Source organism: Homo sapiens, chromosome 3 (genome assembly GCF_000001405.40).
Source record: "Homo sapiens chromosome 3, GRCh38.p14 Primary Assembly".
NCBI lineage: Eukaryota > Metazoa > Chordata > Mammalia > Primates > Hominidae > Homo > Homo sapiens.
Genome location: NC_000003.12, coordinates 94925693 through 94945283, shown reverse-complemented (window position 1 = coordinate 94945283; position 19591 = coordinate 94925693). Strand labels below are relative to the sequence as shown.

Here is a 19591-nt window from a genome sequence, read left to right as displayed (position 1 = left end):
AAGGGAAGCCCATCAGACCAACAGCAGATCTCTCTGTAGAAACCCTACAAGCCAGAACAGGGTGGGGGCCAATATTCAACATTCTTAAATGAATTAATTTTCAACCCAGAATTTCATATCCAGCCAAACTAAGCTTCATAAGTGAAGGAGAAATAAATTCCTTTCCAGACAAGCAAATGTTGAGGGATTTCATCACCACCAGGCCTGCCCTCCAAAAGTTCCTGAAGGAAGCACTAAATATGGGAAGGAAAAACCTGTACTAGCCACTGCAAAACACAACAAAATATAAAGACCAATGACACTAAAAAGAAACTGCATCAACTAGTGTGCAAAATAACCAGATAACATCATAACAGGATCAAATTTACACATAACAATACTAATTTTAAATATAAATGAGCTAAATATCCCAGTTAAAAGACAAATTGGCAAATTGGATAAATTGTCAAGACCCATTGGGGTGCTGTATTCAGGAGACCCATCTTATGTGCAAAGACATACATAGGCTCAAAATAAAGGGATGGAGGAAAATTTACCAAGCAAATGGAAAGCAAAAAAAAAAGCAGAGATTGCAATCCTGGTCTCTGACAAAACAGACTTTAAACCAGCAACGATCAAAAAAGACAAAGAAGGGCATTACATAATGGTAAAGGGAACAATTCAACAGGAAGAGCTAAATATTTTAAATATATATGCACCTAATAGAGGAGCACCCAGATTCATAAAACAAGTTCTTAGAGATGTACAAAGAGACTTAGACTTCCACACAATAATAGTGTGAGACTATAACACCCCACTGTCAGTATTAGACAGGTCAATAAGACAGAAAATTAACAAGGATATTCAGGACTTGAACTCAGCTCTGGATGAGGTGGACCCAGTAGATGTCTACAGAACACTATATCCCAAATCACCAGAATATACATTCTTCTCAGTGCCACCTGGCACTTACTCTAAAATCGACCACATAATTGGAAGTAAAACACTCCCCAGCTAACGCAAAATAACTGAAATCATAACAAACAGTCTCTCAGACCACAGTGCAGTCAAATTATAACTCAGGATTATGAAATTCACTCAAAACCACACAGCTACATGGAAACTGAGCAACCTGCTCCTACATGACTCCCAGGTAAATAATGAAATTAAGGCAGAAATCAAGAAGTTCTTTGAAAACAATGAGAACAAAGAGACAATGTACCAGAATTTCTGGGACACAGCTAAAGCATTGTTAAGAGGGAAATTTATAGCACTAAATGCCCACATCAGAAAGCTAGAAAGTTCTTAAATTGACACCCTAACATCACAAGTAAAAGGGCTAGAGAGAAAACAAATCCAAAAGCTAGCAGAAGACAAGAAATAACTAAGATCAGAGAAGAACTGAAGGAAACAGAGACATGAAAAGTCCTCCAAAAAAAAATTCAATGAGTCCAGGAGCTGGTTTTTTGAAAAACAATTAACAAAATAGACCACTAGCTAGACCAATAAAGAAGAAAAGAGAGAAGAGTCAGGCTCAATAAAAAATGATAGAGGGTATCACTACTGACCCCACAGAAAAACAAACTACTATCAAGAATACTATAAATAGCTCCATGAAAATAAACTAGAAAATTAAGAAGAAAGAGATAAATTCCTGGACACATACACCCTCGCAAGGCTAAAGCAGGAAGAAGTTGAATCCCTGAATAGATCAATAGCAAGTTCTGAAATTGGAGCAGTAATTAATAGCCTACCAAACAAAAAAACCTCGGGACCAGATAGATTCTCCAATGAATTTGATCAGTGGTACAAAGAGGAGCTCATATCATTCTTTCTGAAAGTATTCCAAAAAATTGAAAAGTGGGGACTCTTCACTGACTCATTTTATGAGGCCAGCATCATCCTGATACCAAAACCAGGAAGAGATACAACAAAAAATGACAACTTCAGGACGATATCCCTGATGAACATCGATGTGAAAATCCTCAGTAAAATACTGGCAAACTGAATCCAGCAGCACAACAAAAAACTTATCCACCACAATCAAGTTGGCTTCATCCCTGGGATGCAAGACTGGTTGAACATGTGCAAATCAATAAATGTAATCCATCACATAAACAGAACCAATGACAAAAACCACATGATTATCTCAATAGATGCAGAAAAGGCCTTTCATAAAATTCAACATCCCTTCATGTTAAAAACTCTCAATAAACTAGGTATTGATGGAACATATCTCAAAATAATAAGAGCTATTTATGACTAACTCACAGCCAATATCATATTGAATGGGCAAAAGCTGGAAGCATTCCCTTTGAAAACCAGTACCAAACAAGGATGCCCTCTCTCACCAATTCTATTCAACATAGTATTGGAAGTTCTGGCCAGGGAAATCAGGCAAGAGAAAGAAGTAAAGGGCATTCAAATAGAAAGAGAGGAAATCAAATTGTCTCTCTTTGCAGACGACATGATTCTATATTTAGAAAACCCCATCATCTCAGCCCAAAACTCCTTAAGCTGATAAGCAACTTCAGCAAAGTCTCTGGATACAAAATCAATGTGCAAAAATCATAAGCATTCCTTTACACCAACCGTAGACAAGCAGAGAGCCAAATCATGAAGGAACTCCCATTCATAATCGTTACAAAGAGAATAAAATTCCTAAGAATACAGGTAACAAGGGATGTGAAGGACCTCTTCAAGGAGAACTACAAACCAATGCCCAAGGAATAAGAGAGGATACAAACAAATGGAAAAACATCCCATGCTCATGGATAGGAAGAATCAATACCTGAAAATGGCCATACTGCCCAAAGTAATTTACAGATTCAATGCTATTCCCATTGAACTACCATTGGCATTCTTTGCAGAAACAGGAAAAACTATTCTAAATTTCATATGGAATCAAAGAAGTCCCGGTATAGCCAAAACAATCCTAAGCAAAAAGAACAAAGCTGGAGGCATCACACTACGTGACTTCAAACTATACTACAAGACTATGGTAACCAAAACAGCATGGTACTGGCACCAAAAAAGACATATAGACCAATGGAACAAAACAGAGACCTCAGAAATACCACACATCTACAACCATCTGATCTTCAAAAAACCTGAAAAAAAACAAGCAATGGGGAAAGGATCTCCTATTCAGTAAATGGTGCTGGGAAAACTAGCTAGAAAAATGCAGAAAATTGAAACTGGACCACTGCATCATATCTTATACAAAAATTAATTCAAGATAGATTAAAGACTTAAATGTAAAACCCAAAACCATAAAAACCCTAGAAGAAAACCTAGGCAATACCATTCAGGATGTAGGCATAGGCAAAGACTTCACGACAAAAATGCCAAAAGCAATTGCAACACAAGCCAAAATTGACAAATGGGATCTAATTAAACTAAAGAGCTTCTGCACAGCAAAAGAAACTATCATTAGAGTGAGCAGGCAACCTACAGAATGGGATAAAATTTTTGCAATCTACCCCCATCTGACAAGCATCTAGTATCCAGAATTTACAAGGAACTTAAACAAATTTATGAGAAAAAAAAACAAACAACCCCATCAAAAAGTGGGCAAAGGATATGAACACTTCTCAAAAGAAGACATTTATGTGGCCAACAGAGATATGAAAAGAAGCTCAACGTTACTGATCAACAGAGAACTGCAAATCAAAACCACAATGAGATATGATCTCATGCCAGTCAGAATGGTGATTATTAAAATGTTGGGAAACAATAGATGCTGGCAAGGCTGTGGAGAAATAGGAACTCTTTTACACTGTTCATGGGAATGTAAATTAGTTCAACCATTGTGGGAGACAGTATAGCAATTCCTCAAGGATCTAGAACCAGAACCATTTGACCCAGCAATCCCATTACTGGGTATATACCCAAAGGATTATAAATCATTCTACTATAAAGACACATGCACACATTTGTTTATTGCAGCACTGTTTACAATAGCAAAGAAATGGAACCAGCTCAAATGCCCATCAGTGATAGACTGGATGAAGAAAATGTGGTACCTATACATCGTGGAATACTATGCAGCCATAAAAAGAATTAGATCACGTCCTTCGTAGGGACACGAATGAAGCTAGATGCCATCATCCTCCACAAACTAACATAGGAACAGAAAACCAAACACTGCATGTTCTCACTCGTAATAGGTAGTTGACCAGTGAGAATACATGGACACAGAGAGCGAAACTAAAGACACTAGGGCCTGTTGGGGGGTGAGGAGAGAGGGGAGGGAACTTAGAGGACGAGTCAATAGGTGCAGCAAACCACCACGGCACATGTATACCTATGTAACAACCCTGCATATTATGTATATATATCCCATTTTGGTTTTTTTTTAGAAGAAATAAAGAAAAACAAAAATAATTTTTAAAAAGATATGGGTGTTCAAAGAGAAGGGCTTATATGCAGCACAACATCTAAAATAAAACATGCTGGCTTGCCACTTTTATTTCTGGTTGCTCTTTTTCCTTCTTTAGTCATTTAAAAATTCTAATTTCTGGCATGTATCTTAATGTGACTTATTTTTTAAACAGTGTCTTTACTCTTTTCACAACAACACACCTTGAATATAAAAAGGAATAAATATTCTTCACTTCTACTAAGAACAGTGCTTACTACCATTTATCTAAAGTGCACAGACCACTAGCCTTTTTTTTCATATTTTCATAGACGCATGAAGAAAAATCTTTCTCCTAAATTTACAATTAAATAATCCAAGCTTCCACAAAAGTTAACAAACATCTCAATCTGGCAGATAATAAGAGAAATAAGTACTATGGCAAAGGAATGTACACAGTCTAAAGAGAGCGGAGCTCCAGCAAACTATTTCCATAGCAAATTGTTGGCCTGGTATTTTCCCATATTTCTCTCTTCTAAGCGAAGTTGAAAATCCAGATTTTTATGTGAAGGGCCATGAATTTTATAGGTTAACATTATTATGCTATAGGTTAATATATTGTAAGCCAAAATATCACACACACACACACACACACACACACACACACACTATATTTGGTGTGTGCACACATAATAAAAGCACATTCACACATAGAAAAGCATGCACATGCACAATGCACAAGCATTCATACACATGCAACCTCCCATCAACACACACAAACAACTGCAGGGTATATTAGGTACATGGGTCTTCATTTCTTTAAAAAAAAGTTCATTATTTTTGTCTAACTTGAACATTAGGCTTTTATGCTTTGAAGCCTAAATATTATACTAAAAATATATTTTCCAAATACAGATAGATAGATGACAGATAGATAGATAGATAGATAGATAGATAGATAGATAGATAGATAGATAGAGATAGATAATAGTGTTACCAGAAACAAAGGAAATAGGAAAAAACATTTTTGATAGTGTTACCACCATAGGAAGTTAACATGAATTGATGGCCATTTAATGAAACTAATTTAGCACAGGAATTTTTTTTTTCACTTCTCTAGATTTGTTAATTTTGGGGGTTACAACTCTTGATTTGATCTGGCTTTCCAGCGTTATCATTGTTGTTTTTAAATCTACTTTTTTGAAAAGATTTTTGGAATTTACTTTCTCTTTGTTGCCTGTAACTGGACCTGTATCATAAACTCGCAATGAAGCTTTCTGCCTCACTGAATCACTTTCACAGACTCTGTATTAAAACCCAGTTGGGCTCTTTCTTTCCTTCTTCCTTTCCTTTACTCTTTCTACATGAGGACAAAGAACTCCTTTGAAGGAAGCCTACAGGGCTCAACATCTCATGAAAGAAGATCGATTATGTTTTTTTTTTTTTTCTCCACAAGTCCCATAAGGCATGAAGTCGCCAGACCAATATCATTATTTTGGGTCAGCTAGCTACAAATTTGAAATTGAGGTTGGTCAGAGTACGACTTCAAATATAGTAACTATATAGATTGCTTGTGCTTAAAAGAAAAATGATATCTTAGATTTGAAATTCTCAATAATACATGTCCATTGCTGCTTCTCTTAATTTTAAATTGCTCTCGGATAGCAAAAATAAATAGTAAGTTTAATAAAATATCAATAAATGCTGTAGTTTGAAATAATGGTTTTCACATTCAAAGTTTTTGGTTATAGTAAAGGTGTGTTACAAACACATATACAATTATATCACACTTGATTGTAGTTTACAATTCTCAGGTAAGGGTAAAATCTACATGTACTAAGGGAATACAAATGTTGGTTTAGTGCTTATCTTGATGTAGTAGACTTCTAGAAGATACCATGAAAGATTATCTTACTTAATTTTTATTAAATATTTAAATCACTAAACCAGATACTAATGCACTCTTCTGTCATTAAAGATATGTAGATGATAGATATTTATATTCGCATATATAATATTAATGTAAATTGCATTTATATTTTCTATATATATTCAATTACAAATATAAAATATCAATATTGATCTATAAAGAGTTAAATAAAATCTATAAAAAGTTAAATAAAAATTCTAGAATTGGAAAAATATAATTAAGATATATTAGTGACTCAGTAGATATCACCAAAAAGAAGAGAATAAATAAACTGGAAGATGAGACAGAAAAAAATACCCAAATTGAAGCACAGAAAGATGAAAAGTGTAAAAGACATACCGCAAAGATCCAATATTATTATGGTAACTGAAATCCTAGAAGCAAAGAAGAGAAAAAAGACTTCGCCAAGTCAAATACACAAAAATCTCTGCGAAATCTAGGAAAAATGATTTCTAATAATTTTCAATTCACACAGACATATCATAGGAAGACTTCAGAAAACAAAGAACAAAAAATTCTACCTGAATGAGCAAGATAAGAAGCATTACCTTCAAAACAGCAATAATAAGAGAGATGAATTTCAACAGAAAATACATGAAAAAAATTAAAAATCCTAAAATTTCCATTAGGGAAAAAAAAATCCCTTCCAATCCTGCGTTTCATATTCAATGAAAATATCTATCCCTACCTGTTTCCTGGCGTCCGCCGGCTGAGGCTCCTAGCCCTGGACTTCTGGCCGTCGCCCCAAGATGGCGGACACGATGAGGTGGCGCTGCGTCGGTTGCCCCTGAGGTGTCTGTGAGGACTAACGGTCGGCGAGGCTCCACAGTTGAGGCGGAAGACAGTCGTCCAAGCAGGAGGAAGAAAAGGAGGCGGCCCCACTGCCGGCCGACTTCTCGCTAGCCACCGGCTCAACACCGCCGCCACCAGGGGTTGGCCCCTCAGCAGCCCGCCCGCTGCCAGTCCCGGCTGCCTTCCCCACCCGCCGCCATGAAGCTGACCGACAGCGTGTTGCGGAGCTTCCGCGTCGCCAGGGTGTTTTGCGAAAACTCGGACAAGATTAACTGCTTCGATTTCAGCCCCAACGGCCAGACGGTCATCTCAAGCAGCAACGACGACTCCATCGTGCTATATGACTGCCAGGAGGGCAAACCAAAGAGAACCCTGTACAGTAAGAAATATGGCGTGGACCTCATCAGATACACTCATGAGGCAAACACAGCTGTTTACAGCTCTAACAAAATAGACGATACTATTCGTTACTTGTCCTTGCATGACAACAAATACATCAGATACTTTCCTGGACATAGCAAAAGAGTGGTGGCCTTGTCCATGTCACCTGTGGATGACATTTTCATTTCTGGGTCTCTTGATAAGACCATTCGACTCTGGGATCTCCGGGCTCCTAACTGCCAGGGCCTCATGAGTCTACAGGGGAAGCCAGTTTGTTCTTTTGATCCAGAAGGGTTAATTTTGGCTGCAGGTGTCAACTCTGAGATGGTCAAACTTTACGACCTTCGTTCTTTTGATAAAGGGCCATTTACTACCTTTAGGATGCAGTGTAATCGAACTTGTGAGTGGACAGGACTTAAATTCAGCAACGATGGCAAGGTCATCCTCATTTCCACCAACGGCAGCTTCATTTCCCTCATTGATGCTTTCAAAGGAGTGGTGATGCACACGTTTGAGGGTTATGCCAACAGCAAAGCTGTCACACTGGAGGCTTCATTTACTCCAGATTCTCAGTTTATTATGATTGGTTCAGAGGATGGCAAGATCCATGTCTGGAATGGAGAGAGTGGTATAAAAGTAGCTGTGTTGGATGGTAAACACACCGGCCCAATTACCTGTTTGCAGTTCAACCCCAAGTTCATGACTTTTGCCAGTGCGTGTTCCAGCATGGTCTTCTGGCTGCCCACCATTGATGACTCACCCTGATGCTGCTCCGCTATTTCTGTACAGTGAGGGCGGCCATAGGAAGAAACTCAGAGGGGTCTGAGATAGTAGGGGGATTGGATCATTTGACTGGGCTGGAGAGCATCCTTTACTTGGCCTTCTCATGGATGTGCTGTACATCTGCTCAAAAGAAAATAATTACTTTGCTGAGCATCTTCAAAAGAACTCTGGTGCAACAGACTCAATTGGAACTCAGCTTTTCTAGCTGTCACTGCACCAAGCTCTGCTAGAGGAGTGACCAGACTCACGATTTGGGTATAGTGGGGCTCTCAAGACATCTTCAATTTGAATGTACATGCTGCTGAGGAGCCAGTGAAGTCATCAGCTCTGCACATCCCTTCTCCTACCCCGCTGAATGTATGGAAAGCTACAGTCCTGGTTTTGAAATGCTAGAGCAGCTCAGCGCCCCTTGCCCTCACCTTGCATGTCTTGTTACTGGGTCTTCCTGTGTACTTGTGACATTGTCCACAACCATCATGTTTATTAGGTGCCAGACATTTACAGAAATGTTTTCATATTGGGGTCAGAGAAAGAGACAGATACAGAAGGACCTTGCTTGCAGGAAGCCATGAAGTTAGTCACTGCAATTAGTCATGTGAAGCTAGGTAGTTTGGCAGGCCTCAGGCTCTAGGTGTTGGATGGGAAAAAGCCCAAGGGCCTAAAAGGGAGTGTAAGGGGATGGTAGCAGGTGAGTTCCTAGGGCTGGAAGGTTTAGCAGCAGTGTGGTGCAGTGCCCTGTCATCAAGACAAACCCACGGTCCTCCTGGGTGCCTACCAAGCTTGGTTTGCACAAAAGCAAGGTTAGAGTCTATTTATGTACATGAGATAACATCACACATTCCTGTGGGCCAGTATTGTGAAGTGAGTCTGAGTTCTCTACACTGATGCCTTCCCTGCCCACCACTAATTGTGTACATAGTTTTCCCAGCCCACCACAAATTGTGTACCTTTCCCCAGCTCCCAACCAGGAGCTAGTTCTAGGCCTGTGTTATATTTAGCCTTTTATTATATGACCTTTGATTTCTGTTGTTTGTATTTTAGCCCAGTGTATGCACCTTCATTTAAATACATCTGTGTGCATACAGATATGTGTATATGTATGTGCATATGCATATATCTCTCTCATCTGTAATTTCTGAGAGTTCAGCTGAAGCAGACGGAGTCCTACAGCCCAGGAGACACATTGCATCCTTGCTAACCGTGTTCACCACAAGTGTTAGTGAGTCTTCCCTATTAACGTTTCATTTCGGAAGACTGAATGAAGCAAAGCTTATAGTGTTTGCTGTTTCCATGGCAGCCAAGTGAAGGTCTTGGGATGACTCCCTGTGTTCCTCAAGCTGTACTTTGGGGCTCTCTCTGCAGTATTAACCCCTTTCTGCTTGGTGGTACTCTGTACCTGTGTGTGATAGTCACTTTTGCATGGCTTCTGTGTCTGGCTTGTGGCATTTAGGGATAGGGTGTTATAAAGTATATCAAACTCTTTATATGCTAAATTCTAAGGAAAATTTATCATATGACTTCTTACATAGGACACAATGAATGATATTATGGCCACTGCTTTGTTTCATTTGAAATTAATAAACATAACACGAGATTAAAGGGATACTTTATATCCATGAGTTCATTTATTTTTACACAACATTACATTTGTCTTTTCATAATGTTTATTTATAAACACGTATATGCACATACCATTTTTCAATTGGAATGGAAATATTTTCGTTGTCAATACCTGATAGTGAGGAAGTATTACAAGATAATTTCAGGACACTACTCCTTATTATTTTAACTTTAAAAATTATAACCTGGCCGTGCACGGTGGCTCAGGCCTGTAATCCCAGCACTTTGGGAGGCCGAGGCTGGTGGATCACAAGGTCAGGAGTTCGAGACCAGTCTTGCCAATATGGTGAAACCCCGTCTCTACTAAAAATACAGAAAAATTAGCTGAGCTTGTTGGCGCATCCCTGTAATCCCAGCTATTCAGGAGGCTGAGGCAGGAGAATTGCTTGAACCCGGGAGGCGGAGGTTGCAGTGAGCCGAGATCACACCACTGCACTCCAGCCTGGGCGATAGGGCGAGACTCCGTCTCAAAAAAAAAAATAAAAAATAAAAAATAATAATAGTAATCATGTTCAATTAACTATTGAAAAATATCACATTTAAAAGAATCATACAAGGGACATTTAGTCATTTCCAGAACTTGAGTTACAAAAAGTATATATTATATTTATAAAGTTAATTTCTGAAGTGGGACTAATTATTTTAGCCAAGTCACCATGCCTGTAGTGGATAGACCAAATGGAACACTTGGAGGGATGGTTTCTCAACCTGAGCTTCACATGATTCTCCTGGGGCACCTTTTAAAAGTGGCAAGAGAAATCTCAAATAATAGTGACTTGAACAAGATTGAGGTTTATTTTTTTCAAGTAACAACAAGAATGAAAGCAGGCAGTCTTAATCTAAAGTAGCAACCCAAAGATTTCTGGGTTGATGTCACTATAAGTCTGTGTCCTTTCCCTTAAGGTCAATTTTAAGATGGTAACTGTAGCTTCAGTTGTTTCTTCAATTAGTGCTACAGAATACAGGATTTTAACAGGGTACTTGTCATCTCCAATAAATTTAGATTCTGTTAAAAAAGACAAATATTTGTAGATTAGAAAACAATCTTTACTACTCCTGTGATGTTCTATGAAGTCCATCACTTCACTGTTCTGAAGTTACACTTAAAATATAAAACAATAACATGAATAGGAAAGAGATAATGTAAAATTATATCACCTCCACACTAAATATAATTAGAAGCTATTATGATAAAGACAACTTATAAATGAAAATATACAAATTTTGCACAAACTTTATTTTCCATGAAGTAACCATGTCTACACATTAAAAATGTTAAAAAAGCAGCTGAGAACAATATTTTTACAGAAGGCCACTACAAAAATTACTACTGTTAAAAGGTTAGAAGGATCTAAATTTGAACTACATTGTCTTTAGTCCAAACCTCTTAGTGGATTCATTAACTCCACCAAAATAAATTTTTGAAGTGAAATAACCCTTGTTCTCAACATGTGATACTACATTTGATATAAAAGTTTAAACAAATTTTTTAGAACTGAGGACAATAATGACCTGACCCTTGAGTAAAAAAGTATGGCCTTTTTGTTTTATTAGTTATGCTGACCATAGTCCAATTTTGAATAGTGTGCTTTATAAAGTAAAATTTTCTGTGTCAGCATACCTTAAAAGTTAGAAACTTTTGCAATTATTTCCCAACAGAGATGAATTAATTCACAGCAAACTTCTCAAAGCTGCTAATGACTGCATGATCAGGTAATTTTATTGTTTTAGCAATGATAAAATGCATTTAAATTTCACTCAACTTTTCCTTGCTTAATGTATATCTAATAGAAAAAGATATCTTCACTCATTTGCAAGGTTATTAGTTTTTATTTCGTTTGGTGGAATGTTAGTATGATAGATCTTCTAAATTTTGAACTACATTGTCTTTAGCCCAAACCTCTCCCTTGCTCTTAGACATTTTTCAAGGATGTCTTTAAGCTTGCAACTTTACTATTACTTTAAAGATGTGATTAAAGAACAGTGTATTATTTTGAAAACTTGACCATGGACAATGACAAAATAACTAAAATGAAATAGGGAATGAATTATCACATTTCAACAAAATTTTTCTTAATCATAAGGGCTAGAATAACTGAATTTTATTTCTAGTTCCTCTTCACTAAAGTGCCTGAATAAAATTACACTTTTTAAGAGATGAAAATATGGTAAAGACCATCCACCTTCTAATGACAATCTACTCCAGGGTTATGATCTGAGCACATTCATTCATCTCCTTTCCTATGATATCATAAAAGTTCAGTAAAGAGTTAAAAGACCAACTCGCAGCAATAAAAAGTGTTTAGATGATATAAATCAGGTGAGAAGTGGAGCCTGATGAATCGAAGACAAAGTGACAAAATAAAATCTGCAATGAGAAAGTCTTTGACTTCCAGAACCCTGATGAAGGCAAGACCCCCAGACAAGCAAGTTCAAGTCAGAAGGCTAGCTGAAACAATGAATAGATTGAATGTCCATATAGACCAGCTGCAAGTTTCTCTTGCTCAAGCACCACTCTGGGCAGATAGATTGGCACTTTATCATCAAACAATAATCAATAAATCAATCAGTAACTCGACTGAAGAATTCTCTTAAAAAAGTCCACAAGTCATGCCTCAATACACAGTAATTGAGTCCAGCTTTTATGTTGCCATAAAATAAAAATAAATGGATATCCAAGAGCCTCCAATATCTTACGAGATTGCAGTATCAAAGAGAAAAACTGAGATAATCAACTCAAACTCATATACTGAAATCATGAAGAGTAAGGAACTTTAGCAAACAGATAAGCACACAGATCATAAATTGTGATTTGTATTATCAACAATATTTGAAAAACACAGCATCTAAACTTAGGAAGATTAAAAAAAAGTCCAAGAACAAGAACTAAAGTCAAATATTCAGTAAAAGAGCTGAAAAGTTTTTTAAAAGAATATTTAGAAGAAAAAAAGAACAAGAAATGAAGCATATGCGAATAAAACAGTAAGACGCTGATTTTATCTGATTTTTAAAAGTTACAGAGATAACATAAGAAAAGTAGATTACTTGGATGGTAATAAAGACGAATTTATTAAATAAAAATTACAGGAAAATTTTCCAGAGTTTAAGAAAAGGGTCTTTCTATTGAAAGGGCTCACACTGACACATTACAAACAAACAAACAAAACCCTTACTTAGGGCACTATATTCTGAATAACAGATGATTCTTGGCCAAATAGAAATACAATTTGAGCTGCATATGTAATTTTAAATTTTTCAATAGTCACTTCTGAAAAGCAAAAGAAATAGGTTAAAAATAAATTTATTGATACGTTGTTGAAGCCAGCTATACCCAAAATATCATAACTTCGCTTTTAATCAATGCTGAATTATTGAGATATTTGGAGCTCATTTTTGTATAAGTCTTCAAAATTCACTATTTATTGTTATAACACATTTCATTTGGATGCTAAATTTTTGTACAAAGTATTTAATCTATATTTAGATTTTATAAAATCTACAGCTCAAAAAAATAGATTTACATGAACAAGTTTTTCTAAATATTTTTTAAAGTTTTTAATAACTAGTTAAACTATCCAATACAAATTTAAACTATTTAAAATAAAATGTAAAGACATTTGCATCAGTTGCATTAGACAAACTTCACGTACTCAATACCAATAAATGTCTAGTGGCCATCATATGGGTTAGCACTGTTCTAGATCACCTCGATTAAAATTAAATTCTAGAGCTTTTAGAAAGAATGTAAGAATAGGGCAAGCAGGGAAATGAGTACACAAATATTTTACAAAAGAACAGAAATCTGTCTAGCATCTTAACACCCATGTACAAAATTCTTTGGTACAATAAACAGAAAGAAGGCCTACAAGGAGATATTTGTTAAAGGGTACACTGTTTCATTTAGGATAAATACATTCTGGAGATCCATTGTACAGTATGGTGACTATAGTAAACAATAATGTGTTGCACACTTGAAAATTGCTAAGACAGTAAAGCTTAAATGTTCTCACCACAAAAAATGATAGTATGTGAGGTGACAGATACTTTAATTCGCTTGATTTAGCCATTCCATAATGTCTACATACATACAAACATATTCTATACACTATGAATACATAAAATTTTTGTTTGTATTATGTATTAGAAAAATTGGGGGAGAAAAGAAAAAGGACCTAATTTCTGAGAGACAAATTATTTTCAATGTAGAATAATGTATCTACCTAAAATATAATTCAAGTGGAAGGGAAAAACAAAAGCATTTCAGGAATAAAGAAATTTCTAGTATTCAGAACTATTATTTTCATGTACATTTCTTAGAAATTATTTAAAGATTCATTCTATCAAAGTTACTGTAGAGAAAGATGTGCTATTAAGAAAAGTGTATATTTCAGGATCAAAGATCAGCAGGTCCGTAAAATGATAATAACAAATTTGACAAGATGACAGAGCCTTCAAGAGGAGATTGAAGAGGGGATCTCTGGATCTGGGAGAGGACAATTCAAATATTCACATAGTAAAGTGCCTATGAAGAAAATGAAAATACTGTAATGGCAGAATAAAAAATAGAGCACATCAGAACGTGATTAAAGGATCATTGTACAATGACTGGAAAAGAAAACCACAAAACATAGTTATAGAAAAAATTATGGATTGTATTCACCTTAAAAATATAAAAGTAAATCAATGAACAGAGATGGAATATTAAAAGGAGATGGAAAAGAGAGGGAAGGAGGAATATTTTATAATCATTAAAAAGAAAAAATAAAGATATTTATATGGTTGATTAAAAAATTAATATATAATACTGATTTGTTTGAAAGCTGGAGTGACAAATAGAGGCTCTGAAAATACTGATATAAATATGTCAAGAGATAACAGGAAGAAGAGGCATCACATTGTTTGAGTAAGCTAGGATTTCATCCATCATAATGGGAGCACAGAAAAAAGTGTACATAATTGATGAATAATGAAAAAGTGTCTTGGCATAGTATTTAGAAAATTGAGGTAATCATAAGATGTACTCAAAACAGAAAGCTGGTAAAGGTAACTGCCTGAAAGAAGAGAGATAAGACAAAAAATATTATTTTGCATCATAAAATATTCATTGATTTTACCTGTCGTGTTTTGTTGTGTTTTTAACCATATATAACATACAGTATATTATACATATATAACATACAGTATATTATACATATATAACATACAGTACATTATACATATATAACATACAGTACATTATACATATATAACATACAGTACATTATACATATATAACATACAGTACATTATACATATATAACATAGTATATTATACATATATAACATATAGTATATTATACATATATAACATATAGTATATTATACATATATAATATATAATTATAAATTATATATAGTATCTTACAACTATATAATATAAAATTATAAATTATATATACTATTTTATAAATATAAAATTATAAATTACATATACTATATTATAAATATAAAATTATAAATTACATATATTATAAATATATAATTATAAATTATATATATTATATTATAAATATATAATTATAAATTATATATATTATATTATAAATATACAATTATAAATTATATATATTATATTATAAAGAATGAGAAATACATATTTTGCTCCCTTAGAGATAAGCATGTTGAAAAAATCTGTTTACCTATCTATATCTATCTATCTGTCTACCTATATTTATATGTTAAGTATTATACTAAAAATGTGAAATGAAAATACAGAAAAAGGAGAATTTTTGATTTAATATTAAATGTATTTTTGATCTGAATATTATTCTACTCAATTATTCAAAATAAATTCCAAATGCCTATTATTGAAAAAATAATTTGGTTCAAATTTTAAACAAAAAGTCCCTCAGTGATTTTAAAAATTATGTCACCTTGAAATTTTTTTTAGTTAACAACAAAAGTGACAAAAATTGAAGAAGACAAAATAATTTGACAGAAACATGTTGCACAGCACAGATCTAAAATCTAGTACTATGGACAAATTCAGAATTTCATCACAAAATTTTTACATGTGAAATAATGCTTTCACAATTGATTTGCCACAATACTGGGGCATTGATTCTTCTGATGAAAAAGTATCTTTGAGACAGCCATTCTTGCTATAATTATTGTTGATACAGCTGATGATTTTGAAAAGCTCTTGTATCAGTTTGCTGTCACCACAAACTATTGCAAAATAAACAACCACACACCTCAGTGACATACTACAATATGTGCTGATTACTCACAAGTCTAGGTTTCTGCTAGAAGTTATCTGATCTCAACCAAGGCCGTTCTTGCGTCAGAGAGGCATCTGACTCATTCTAGTCTAGGACATTTCTACTTTACTTTACATTATCTCTTACCCTTCTAAGACCAGAAGACTAACTTAAGTATGCTATTCCCTTTGTAATGATAAAAGGACAAAAGAGACAAAATCCTATCGCATAAATCCTTTTCAACACTCTCACTGGGCAAAATACGGCTGACCCCAGGGACTGAGAATTATATATAAGAGCAAAAAGAAGATCAAGACAAATTCACAAGGCAAAGGTCAAGGGCATGGGGGTTAGTGGAGATTTTGGTCCAGTGCTAAAATCTACCACACATCTAAAGGGAGGTTTTTGTTTTGAAAAAAAATCAACGTATGATAAAGGGATTCACCAACAATTCAAACATATATTATCCTTTTAAAAAAGTACAAAATTTCCTAAACAAGCATGGTAGCTTGTGGCATTATTTTTATTATGGCTGTTATTCTGACCATTTGGAGTAGATGTGCCTCTTGTTTACAGTGAGTAAAAGTAGTATGGTGATGCATGAAAGATAAAAAAAAAAAAATAGCTCAAGTAACACAAGCTGACGCATGAAAATAAAAGGAGAAACTAATTAATAAAAAATTTTCTAGGCTGGGCATGGTGGCTCATGACTGAAATCTCAGCACTTTGGGAGGCCCAGGCAGGTAGATCACTTTAGATCAGGAGTTTGAGACCTGCCTGGTCAATATGGTAAGACCCCATTTCTAGTAAAAATACAGAAATTAGCAGCTGAGGTAGGAGAATCGCTTGAGCTTGAGAGGCGGAGATTGCCGTGAGCTAAAATCGTGCCACTGCACTCCAGCCTGGGTGACAGAGGGAGACCCTGTCAAAAAAGAGACAAAAACAGTTATTTTACTACAGAAGAAAACAAGTGTTATTATTTTCTTATTTGAAAAATACATGAATTTCAAGCCATAATACATATTTGTAACAATGGAATTCAATTATAGTGAGATAAGAGTGACCTGAATTTGAATTTTATCTTTAAAGCATCTGACTACCACACATTTGTCAAATTTTCACATTTTAGACATGATAAAGAGTGATTAGTGGGAGAATATTTTTAAGACATTACTTTAGCAACCAACAATGAGGCAAGACCCTCCGCCAGAAAAAAAGATTATAATTTGCTGAAGGCTGATGATCGTTAGCATTTTCTAGCATTAAAGTATTTTTAAATTAAGGTAGGTACATTTTTATTTATTCATTTATTATACTTTAAGTTCTAGGGTACATGTGCACAACGTGCAGGTTTGTTACATATGTATACATGTACCATGTAGGTAGGCTGCACTCGTTAACTCCTCATTTACATTAGATATATCTCTGGAGTTTCGCTCTTGTTGTTCAGGCTGGAGTGTGCTAGGGCGATTTCGGCTTGCTGCAACCTCCGCTTCCCAGGCTTGAGCGATTCTCCTGCCTCGGCCTCCTGAGTGGCTGGGATTGCAAGCGCCCGCCACCATGCCTGGCTAATTTTTTGTGTTTTTGGTAGAGATTAGGTTTCACCATGTTGGCCAGGCTGGTCTTGAGCTCCTGATCTCGGGTGATCCGCCCGCCTCGGCCTCCCAGAGTGCCGAGATTACAGGCGTGAGCCACTACACCCAGCCGGTACATCATTTTTTATGACATAATGTAACTGCACACTTAATGGACTACAGTATAGGGTAAATATAGCTTTTATATGCACTGGGAAACAAAAAACTCACATGACTCAATTTATTGCAATATTTGCTTTATTGCAGTGGTCTGGAGCCAAACCCACAAGAGCCCCCTGGTATCCTTGTAACACTATACTGCTCTGTGAGGAGTGCAAGTATCTTATAATTACAAAACATTTCTAATTCCTCCCTCCCATCTCTTGTATCATTGCTGTCATTCCTTTCATTTGCACGTAAGCACATTGTTGCTATTACTATTTTGAACAAACTGCCTACTGTCACACCAATTAAAAATGAGAAAAATGAAAGTTTTTATTTTACCTTAAAAAAAAAAAGACATTAATTTAACTGGAGTCATTAAGTGATTTCTACTTGGATGCTTATAGAGGTACTAAATTATTTCTAATTTTCTTCTGGATTATTGATTTAATGAATTAAAATATTTGCCACACATTCAAGATTGCCTACCAAAGTTAATGAGTTAATTCTCTTTTTTTTTTTGCCAATTTTGACAAGCTCTATAGAAATAAACCAATATACATATTTTAGAGCTAAACATACATTGTTAATGTTTTAAAATTTTAAAATGTAATATCAAATATAAAATTATTTTTCAAAATGTTCAAACATTTCTAGGAATTTGATTTTATTTACAATAAGTGAATCATGTGTGTTCCATATGAAAACACTTTATATAAATCTTTCATCATATTTTATTTTAGCAAAATTAGCTGTAATTTTCTTAATTATTCCAAATTTCATGAAATAAATAAGGAATCTGAGAAGCATATGAAAATATATTTCATAAATTTTCCCAAGTTTGATTAATGAAGCAAGAATATTATTCACTATTCACAAAATGAAGTTTTCAGTCTATCAGACAGAGGTTGTTGAAATATAGGAGAAAAGTTCACACAGGTTTTTTATAACAATATGTGTGTATATTGATAAATAGATATAGATCATAGATAATGATATAGAGATATAAATCTGATATATGATATAGATATATAATTCTTTGTAGCCATACCTACTAAATGATGAAAAGCTTTTTATAAACAATATTTATAAAAGTATCCAAAGTCTTTTGTGTGAGAAATTATTTCTGATGATATTTAAAATGAAACAGGAATTAAGAGAGGAAATGTGTCATGAAAACTAGCCTTGCAAATATACGAAAGTTATTGTCTTAAGATAAATGTAAATATCCTAAAGACTTAGTAAACTGTTCTCCTCCAAAATCCATACATGAATTAAAAATAAAATAGCAGAAATTTAGATCCAAATTGGAGCTTGGAGAAGATTTAATCTAATTATTTAATGAGAAAGTAAATCCCTATCAAGTTATAGAGATAGGGTTTCAGCTATTGCATCTGTCATACTTATCTGTTAAAGTAGACCAAGGCCAGAACCCAGGTTTCTTGTTTCCCACCCTGATGCCCTTTCAGCAATTCCATACTAACCCTGAGAGGAAAGGATCCTTGTAGCAATAAAATGCATTATTCTGTTGCTAACTCTTTTTTTTTTTTTTTTTTTTTTGAGACGGGGGTCTCGCTCTGTCGCCCAGGCTGGAGTGCAGTGGCGCTATCTCGGCTCACTGCAAGCTCCGCCTCCCGGGTTCACGCCATTCTCCTGCCTCAGCCTCCCGAGTAGCTGGGACTACAGGCGCCCGCCACTGCGCCCGGCTAATTTTTTGTATTTTTTTTAGTAGAGACGGGGTTTCACTGCGTTAGCCAGGATGGTCTCCATC

The 19591-nt window shown here is 35.1% G+C and overlaps 1 long non-coding RNA gene and 1 pseudogene across 1 annotated transcript in view, besides 1 other annotated feature; one reads left to right on the top strand and one right to left on the bottom strand.

Annotated features, from left to right (window-relative positions):
- Positions 1 to 7021, bottom strand: part of LINC00879 (long intergenic non-protein coding RNA 879) — a 53066-nt gene extending 46045 nt beyond the window's left edge. Inside the window, exon 1 of the long non-coding RNA NR_015400.2 lies at positions 6958 to 7021. This is a non-coding gene — a long non-coding RNA (long intergenic non-protein coding RNA 879). The remainder of the gene's footprint in view (positions 1 to 6957) is intronic.
- Positions 6255 to 7454: an enhancer, noted in NCBI's record as "CDK7 strongly-dependent group 2 enhancer chr3:94656674-94657873 (GRCh37/hg19 assembly coordinates)". NCBI's record gives its function as "activates an origin of replication core promoter dependent on BRD2, BRD4, P300/CBP, MED14 and CDK7 cofactors, with strong dependence on CDK7, by STARR-seq in HCT116 cells {active_cell/tissue: HCT116}" and the evidence as "EXISTENCE:reporter gene assay evidence [ECO:0000049][PMID:35650434]".
- Positions 6999 to 9685, top strand: WDR82P1 (WD repeat domain 82 pseudogene 1; annotated as a pseudogene).